At 43.6% G+C, this 9,238-nt stretch overlaps 1 annotated feature.

Moving 5' to 3' along the window:
- Positions 8,305–8,806: an enhancer, noted in NCBI's record as "H3K4me1 hESC enhancer chr18:73616131-73616632 (GRCh37/hg19 assembly coordinates)". NCBI's record gives its function as "activates a minimal SCP1, AML or CMV promoter by ChIP-STARR-seq in naive H9 embryonic stem cells {active_cell/tissue: H9 hESC(naive)}" and the evidence as "EXISTENCE:reporter gene assay evidence [ECO:0000049][PMID:30033119]".

The raw sequence follows: 9,238 nt of genomic DNA on the forward strand, positions 1-9,238 counted from the left end.
GGTCCAGTTTAGGAGCAATTTTTATGTTAGATTTACATGTACACACGTATCTTATTCCCTCATTATGTTTAGAGACAGGTGACACTGAAGGATACCTGGAACTTCCTATGATTCTGCTGTCTTCCTTCTTCAGAGCAGGAGCAAAGAGTTGTACAGAAAGAGACACTCACTGGGTTACTTCCAAGACCAACGCGCGGTTATTAATTTTCTCTGGCTCTTGGTAAGAGCCTATTAGAATGGAGCTCTTGGGCACCCACCCTTGTTTATCATAAAAGGAAACTAAACACTGCAGTCTAAGTCTCTTAATTAGAAGACACATGAAAATCATCTGGGAAGTTTTTCAAGATACATAAGCTTGGTCCTTCCATAGACATATCCAGTCAGTGCTTCTGAGGTTGGGGACTGGCAGGAGCAAACTGAAAAAGTCCCATAGGTCACTCCGAGGCCCATCTCCGTAGTTCTAGAGCCAAACCACTCTTCCATGGCCCTCCAGGCTAGGAATCTCATGGGATTGCATGTTATAGCAATGTATATCCAATTATGTAATTGACACCCCATTCTACTACATATTTACTCCCAATGCTGGGCAAACATTAGGCTAGATTTTAAGAGGTGGTAGCAGAATAAAGAGCAAATAAAACCATCTCAATTTATTTCATTCCACTATAAATAAAATCTTACCCTAGTTTTTGATTATCGGCCATTTTGGCTTCAGTTAAAATTTACAAATCTTTATAATCACTACTACTTCTCAACATGTGAGAACATTTACAACTTGTGTGAATAATCCTGCGTTTAAACTCACAGAAACATTTTGTATTAAGATTTCTAAAGCCTCAGGCCACGGCACGAGAACTGGCCGCCGCCGGGTTAATAAACCTGCCTTTAAGTTTGGTGAATTGGCACCTGTAAGTCTCCCTTCCTCTTCTTTCCCCTCTTCCCACACCGCTTTATTTACCTTTTCCAACTAGTCCTTTCCATTATTCAAAGGATAAAGTTCACTATATGTATAGAGAAAGCTTACACTGTCACATAGTTACGTTTTGTTTTTAAGAAGCACTTGAAGGTGAGGAGGGACACGTGCATTTGGAAAGCACCGTGGAGACCTATGATGAGATCACCTTGGCAGTTCTGTATCTTTTTCCCACTTCCCTGTGGTCCAGAGAGAGAGCATGCTCAGTGGCACTCTGAGACGTTTTGTGCCACCTGGTGGAATTTTCCTGGAAGAGAATTATCCGGGGTCTGAATTACCACTCAGCTTGATCATCACCTGAGGCATTTTCTCAGTGCTTAATATTACCAGCCTAAGTATAGATTCCCTACTGTGTCAGGCAATTTAACTGCACTAGGCCCATAATAAAGTTTTTTTTTTAATGTGAAAATTAGTCTTTAGTGAAAGAGACCTATTTTGTTAGCTGCTGGGAAAATTCAGGTACAGCAATGCCATCCACACATCGGGTCATTCTATTCTACTCTGGTTAATACGGGGGGATTACTGCCAACCTTCTAGCAGGCAGCGCACAGATGTTAACACTGCTTTCCATTAGTTAGAGACAAAAGTAATTATAATTAACTTTTTTCCTTTACCCTTACCCCCAGGAAGTCAAAACAATCTGATAATGTCATATTTAGCAATTAGTGATGTAACAGTTTACTTGAGCAGAGATTTTTTTGCCAACATGAGAGGGATTTTAACAGCACATGGACTGAAGCGATAACTGATTTGAGTGGTTGAAAGTCTTTCCTGAGAGGCTCAAACTAACGCCAGTGAAAACCAGCTGGGCCGAGGCGCCACATCAATGCCTCCCCCAAATGAGGCCGTCGTGGGAGCTTTGGGTCAGGTATGCACACTGCCTGTCTAATATGTTAGGTTTTCTTCTTTCACATTGCAATTATTAGCCACCCACTGTGTTCTATGATGCAAATAGAGTGACTCAGCATTGACAAAATTCACAGTTCCAACTCTCCTTCACTCACAGTTTTCTTACCTGCTGTGATGGTAAGAAATGCTCTTCAAAGACAGACTGGATAAAGTCAAGGACCCTCTTCGTCTGGCATGGAGTAAAAGCGTCCAACTGACAAAGAAATCCAACATCCAGAGAAATTACCAAACTTCAATTCTAGCAAAAAAAAAAAAAAAAAAAAAAAGCCGGGTGCAGTGGCTCACGCCCGTAATCCCAGCACTTTGGTAAGCCCAAGGCAGGTGGATCACCTGAGGTCAGGAGTTCGAGACCAGCCTCACCAACATGGTGAAACCCTGTCTCTACTAAAAATGCAAAAATTAGCTGGGCATCATGGCGGGTGTCTGTAATCCCAGCTATTAGGGAGGCTGAGGCAGGAGAATTGCTTGAACCTGGGAGGCGGAGGTTGCAGTGAGCAAAGATTGCACCATTACACTCCAGCCTGGGCAGCAAGAGCAAAACTCCATCTCAAAATAAATAAGTAAATAAATAAAATGAAATTAAAAAAAACAAGAAAGAAAGAAAACCCTTTATTGAGATTAGAAACAGACACATAGTCAAAGGCATAAGAGGAGAGCCATCTTTCTGGAAATACAGCTATAGAATTCTAAGGAGCTTGGATATATGCCCTGCCTCCTCAGCTAAAAGGTAAATCTTTGGGGAACAAGGAAGTCTAATGCCACTCAGTAATTCCAGAGTGTTAATACCATAGTCCTTCCTGATCAATAAGGATGCACCTGAAGGTGTTTTTCTGTGGCTGCTACTGTTCTGTGTTAGCTTAGCTTGGTTTAATCCATGTCTGCATATTTGGTGCTCCGAATTCTTTCCACATTAACACAAGTCAAGACTTTTCCTTGGTCGACAACTACAGCCACTATTTGTACTGCTTGTAACTTTTGACATTTCTATCTCTTAGATTCATGTCTGCTGGCTTCTTCTACACTGAAAGAACCACCCAGTTCTGATTGCTCTGTGCCTGGCTGGTCCCAGCAGTGCCCAATCATGCTGCTTTCCATGGGAAGCTGTTCTTCAACAGTCCCGGGAGGGATTCTTTCACTCCACCCTGTTTGCAGCTGTTCTATTGGGCTCGCCACTCAGCAGCTGCTTAGGTGTCCTTTTATCATCTAATATCTATTTTCCATAAATATCCACAGCAACAGCATCACTTCAGTATTTGTAGATGGGCTGTATTCCGTGGCTTGGTTTTATAGACCTGAAAAATAAGGAATAGGAACTGAGGAGCTTAACTCAGGATCACTGCTCTAACTTGATCTGAAAAGTGAGAGATGGCGATATGACTGATAGGACTGAAAAAGTAGCCTATTCCTTCAAGAATTTTAAAACAATGGGCATGGAAAAAAGCATGTGTGGAAGTTGCCATGTACAAAGCTGTGTGATTTCAAGATAGAAACTAAGTTCTCTGAATGTCAGTGTTCCTATTTGGGGAAAAAAACAAAAAAACAAAAAACTAATTTTGCCTACTTTGTAGAATCATTATAAGAATTAGAGCCAAGTTTTACAGGTTAATGCCTGAAACAAAATGAGAGCTCAAAGCAAACCTAGTAAATATTGTTATTATTAAATAATTACAATTAACATTATAAAGCAAAGCAAAGTATCACTTCCTTCAACACCTGAAAAATGGAAAGAAGCTACTGGACCAGAAAAAACTGGAAAAGATAAGAGAAAAAGTAGGCGTTATAATAGAATCTATAATAAGTTGATGATTCTTAGCTACTCCTAAAATTATTACAAATAGAGACACATAGCAGACTGAGTTCACTAAGTTGCTTGAGATGAGACGCAGGCTGGAGTCCAGCTGCATCACTTACAACCCATGCCGGCATGGGTAATTCATGCTCAGGTAAAGCACTTCTACAATGATGGAGTTTGGTTGTTTCTAATGTTTTAGGACTGTGTACACCTCAATAAGACCAGAATAAAGTAAAATACTTCCTCTGGTTATTCATATGAACATCTATTGGTTTGAAGATGGGTCAGCATGCTAGGCATATGGGCCAAATCTGGCCTACTGCCTGGTTTTATAAATAAAGTTTTATTGGAACACAGATACCCTCATTCCTTTACATACTATTTATGGCTACTTCATATTAAGGTGGCAGAAGTGAATCGTTGTGACAGAAATCATACAACCCAGAAAGACTGAAATGTTTACTACCTTGCCCTTTATAGAAAAAGATTGTTGGTAAAAATAAGGTCAACTAACAGAAATGAAACACCAAATGGGGAACCACAGATTGTCAAACAGTTTCTTGAAGTAGTTTGGTGAACAGTTTCTTATGAGAAAAGACAGAGAACTCTTTGGATTTGATCCTTTGTCTATTTGTTTTTCAAAGAAGAACTAGTTGCCAGTATGCAAATCATGTTAGAGGTTATCAAGAGAAAATTAAATTCACAATTTGAAAGACATTAGTAAAGAAAAGGAAAATACATTTCAGAGAAATAAATTTCAACAAGTTGAAGGTATGGCTAAGATGCATTTAATTGGAATAAAATCTCTGAGATGTGAGACAATGGGATGTTGATTGTTTAGCCCATTCTTGTACAGACAGGAAAGCAAACTTAACTCCAGCATTAGGTGTAAATACGGAGTCATGTGTTCTCCAAATATTGAAATTTTGAAGAAAATGGAGCCCTGAGGTGTCTATAAAGATTTCACCAAACATGAAGCTCAGCCAAGACTAAAGATATCCAAAGACAGGGCAAAATTGTAGAGAACGGAAACAAAGACATTCTTTTAACTCAGAAAAAAAAAAAAATCCATAGCCACAGAATTCAATAGAAGTGAAAACGTATCACCCCAAAACGGGACAGGCAGTAATAAACTCTTAAGAAAAAGTGGAGACATTTCAAGAATTTTTTTCATATGGAAAGATTTTTCAAAAGTGCCTGTCCAGGCCTCCTACCATGCTGCTAACCTGCAGTCCTGGAAGAAACCTGCCTTCTCTCCACTCTTAGACCACAAGGTCAGGGTTTCTGCAGCCCCCACTGCCCTCAGGCCTCACTTCTCAATTTAGCCCTAGACTTGTCAAGAGAGGGTGGTCCCAAGCTTGGAGGGGAGAGGAAGAAGCAGAGAAGGAAGGGAAGGGCAAAGGCGTGTCTTCCACTGGCCCACATAGAATTTCCATCCCACAGCCTTCCCATCTTGTCATTCAGCCCAGGATACAAAGGTGGGGCTGGCCTTGCTCATAGGGACCTGTGAGTCCCCACAGCAGCCAGCCTGGAAGGCACAGATGCTGAGGGATACAGGGTCAGCCTCCAGCAGAGGAAGGTGCTGAGACTTCCCGGCCAGGGCGCTCCAGACACCTGAAGAAAACTGCCCTTCATGAACACGGAGGGAGTCGAAGGGAGTCGAAGGTATCTGAAGACCACGGGAGAGGTTTGCTTTTTTTTTGGTAATTACAAACTGCATGTATATTGATTTTTCTTTCTTTTAATAAATCAAAAGGACACAGTGCAGTCATTAAAAACCAGATGGTGAAAGGAATTTCAACGCTGATAGTATATTAGCTCAAAAAAAATACAGAAGCTTGCATAGAAGCGTGATGCACTTAAATGTTAACGGTCCTTATTCCTGAGTGCTGGGATTTAGTTGGTTTTCCCCCTTAATTTTCACCTCTTCTAAGGTGGGTTTCTGCTGCTTTCATTATAAGAAGAAAATGTAATAGATATTGTCAATGCTCAATACAGTCCCCTGATTGGTGGGGCCAGGGGGTCTGGTGTGAGTGAAGCAGCATTAACCTCAGAGGCTCTCCAAGCACAGGGAGCTGTTTTCTCCATCTTGGGTGTAGGGTGTTCTCAGAGGAAGTCTGCCAACCCCACAAAACGTCCAACACTCTTCCTGTCCTGAGCACCTTGCACGGGAGGCGTGTGTAGAGATGGAATTTTCCTTATGTTGCATCTCTGTCTTACTTCCTCATTACAGACCACTCAACATTCTTCTTGGCCAGTAACTCCAATGACTCAAAAATAATGACCGGACTGGGCAACATGGCCCACACCTGTAATTCCCACACTTTGGGAGGCCAAGGCAGGAGGATCACTTGAGTCCAGGACAACCTGGCAAAACCCCATCTCTACAAAAAAAAAAAAAAAAAATTAATTAGCCGGGTGTGGTGGCGTGTGCCTGTAGTCTCAGCTACTTGAGAGGCTTAGGTGGGAGGTTCACTTGAGCCTGGGAGGTTGAGGTTGCACTGAGCCATGTCCATGCCACCACACTCCAGCCTGGGTGACAGATTGAGACCCTGTATCAAAATAAATACATAAATACATACATAAATAAATACTGCATCAATGCACATGTGAAGAATGTTTTATAATATTAATCAAGGGATGTGTTGATTGTTCCGATAGACATGGAGTCTTCAGCCGTTAGCTCCTCGAGGGACCAAGGGTGTTTGTTTCATTTTTTTGGATGCTAGATCATCAATACAAGTTTTGGCGGTCCCGGTAACAAGGAAGAAAGAAACAAAGTCAGAGTGCTAATTTCTCTTCCAGCATCATATGATGTTTTAGCAGGACAAATGAAACTAGGACAAACAGGCTGGAGTCCCCATGGTCAGGCATTTTGGCAAAGTCATTTTGGGGAAATCCCATTTTGAAAGACGAACATCTTATAGTGGACGTGCTGATGAATAATTTATTTGGTTGTCACATCAAGTCACATCCAGCACTTTCTTTTGAATTCTGGGTCTATCGCCTGAGCTCATTCCTGCCCTGACTTACGCCTTCTCAGCTACTCTCTAGACCTCTCTGAGCAGCATCCCACTTTCTTACCCACCAAATGTAGTCCCCTGGCCTGTAAATCTCTCCTGAAACTTTCCCTCGACAATGCAGCCTCTAGGCCTCTGTGCCAGTCATATCTACACAAATGGGATTTTTACGGCCTGCTGCCATTTCCTTTATGTCTGACTTAGGTTGTAAACTCTTCAGGGCTGGGGCCTTGGCTTTTTATGTTCCATGACAGCGTGTGTACACTTGCAGCAGCTATAATGCTAACAAGTGAGAAAGCCCTGTCTCTTACCACCCAGCCTACTCTACCCCAGAAAAGGAACCTTCCTGGCTGCAGGTCCTAAATCCTACATCAGAGTCACCCCTTGCAGAAACCCCTTGGCATAGGTCATTTGGAATTTTGTCTGTGTGTTCTATAAAACCAAAGAATTACCAACAACCAGAAGTTGAAATACATGAATCAATAAGAAGCCAACTTCACACACAATTGAGTGGGACCCCGTGGCCAACAACCCATTCAATGGAAACCAGTGGAGGCCACTGCTGACCCAAAGAGGTGAAAGCCTACTTTAGAACTGAGTGTTTAATTGGTTGCAGTAAGCCTAGACGATAAGATTTAGCAGGGAGAGGTTTGGGAAGAAAATCAACACTGGGAATTAACATAAATTAAACACTTCTGAGAGAGAGAAAGTGAATTAGTTATTCAAAAGTACAGAATTAAATAAAAAGGAATACCTTCTGTGTGGCACGTTCTTGATGGTATGAGCCGCTCGGTCATGACCTGTGCTTTGCTGGAGAGAATCCCACACCTGGGCACCCGTCTTTTACTTATTACCATCGGATGGCTTTTCCTCATCGAGGCTAGGTTCTCGGGTTGTGGTAAGTGTGGAGGCCAAACGTCTGGCTCTGTCATTTCCGCTGCATGATCCGGAGCAACAACCTGCTCAAGGACTGACAGAAGGGAATAGAGGAGATAATGGTCCCAGCACAGCTCTGGCCCCCAAGGATGCCCCCCACATAAGCCTCTCGCTCCCCTGCATGCTTCTGGTGCAAGGGTGCCCTGCTCTGGAGGCTTTGTTAGAGTAGTCTGTAATAGACCCGTATACCATGTGTTATGATCTCATTTGCTAATTGTAACTCTGTCTTACCTCCTCAACAATATTTTAAGCTCCTCACAGGTAGAGAGTCTTATACTACCGTATTTGATTGATCCAACATATTTGAAATACATTTTTCCCCATTGTTTGACTTCATAATAGCATGCTTTGATGTATAAATTGAGCTGCTATGTATCTGAAAACGATATTCTTTCAGCTTTGTCACTTATGATAGTTTATTTTGCAATCCATCAAGCATTCTTGAATATCTACTTGTATGCTATAACTTAGCACTACAAGAGAAAAAATAGAAAACAGTGAACAAAACAAGCCAGCAGAAGGAGTCCTCACAGAGCACCCAGATCTGCTCCCAGGGACTGCTTCCTGCTTCTCCAGTTATCTCTGGGAATCATATCTGGCCACCGGCCCTTCCTACCCTTTCCTGCTAACATGGCCCCAGCAGAAGAAACAACAAAGGACATCCTATTATCCCGAGTGGAGTTTCATGGGGGGAAGAGATGTTCCTGATGGCCCAAGTTGAAAGCCAAAATAAGATTTACAAATATTTCACAAAGGGTCCCATGTGGCAGTGTACCAGAGTCAGGGTCGTGGGTGCAGGAAGCAGAACAGGCCAGGAGTGGGGCAGGAGACTGACCCGTGAGAGGACACAGCACATGGCAGAGGCCAGGCATCTCTAGGTTCAGGGCAGGAAGCCCAGGGGCCACAGGAGGCAGGTGGAAGGGGAGCCGGCCTCAGCACAGGGAAGGTCAAAGGCGGAGAAGCAGATCCAACCTGAGGAGAGGGATGGGGTTCACATTGGAAGACTTTGCCCTGCATCCACATTGAGTGACCCAGAAGGCAGGATCAGAGTCAGGGCAGAGTCAGGGACAAAACACAGGCGTCAGGGCCGCAGGTGAGGCTGGGTTTTCTGCGTGGTGGCAGCAGCACTCGCCCGAGTGCGGGCAGCGCGTGGCCAGGAGTGTGGCCGCCATGGTGATTCCACTTCGCTCCTCTGTCTTAGCTTAACAAAGGTGAGTGGGCTTCAGAATCTTCATGACTTGAGGTCCTTCCCACCTCTGAAACTCCGCGGTTCTATGCGTCAATAAGACATCAGTGTGTCAACTTGTCCAGTGCAAGGGATGCATAGGCAGAAGCCAAGCCTGGTTATGCACCAATTTATCACTGAGGATGCAAGCAAAGGAGAAGGAAACAGGCAGAGCATGAGTCAGGCTTTGTCCCCGGCACCAGGGCCACGGCGCATTCTCCTTACCCCGCCTTCACAGTGCTCCCCTTTCACTGCAGGAAGAGGCCCTGCGGATGAGGGCGGGACTCTGCCGATGAGGGCGGGACTCTGCAGGGCCTGGTTGACGGAAGCAAGATTCCACGCTGGGGACCCCTCTGAACTTGGAGCACCTCACTGCATCTTCT

The sequence above is a fragment of the Homo sapiens genome, chromosome 18 (assembly GCF_000001405.40).
Source record: "Homo sapiens chromosome 18, GRCh38.p14 Primary Assembly".
Classification (NCBI taxonomy): Eukaryota; Metazoa; Chordata; class Mammalia; order Primates; family Hominidae; genus Homo; species Homo sapiens.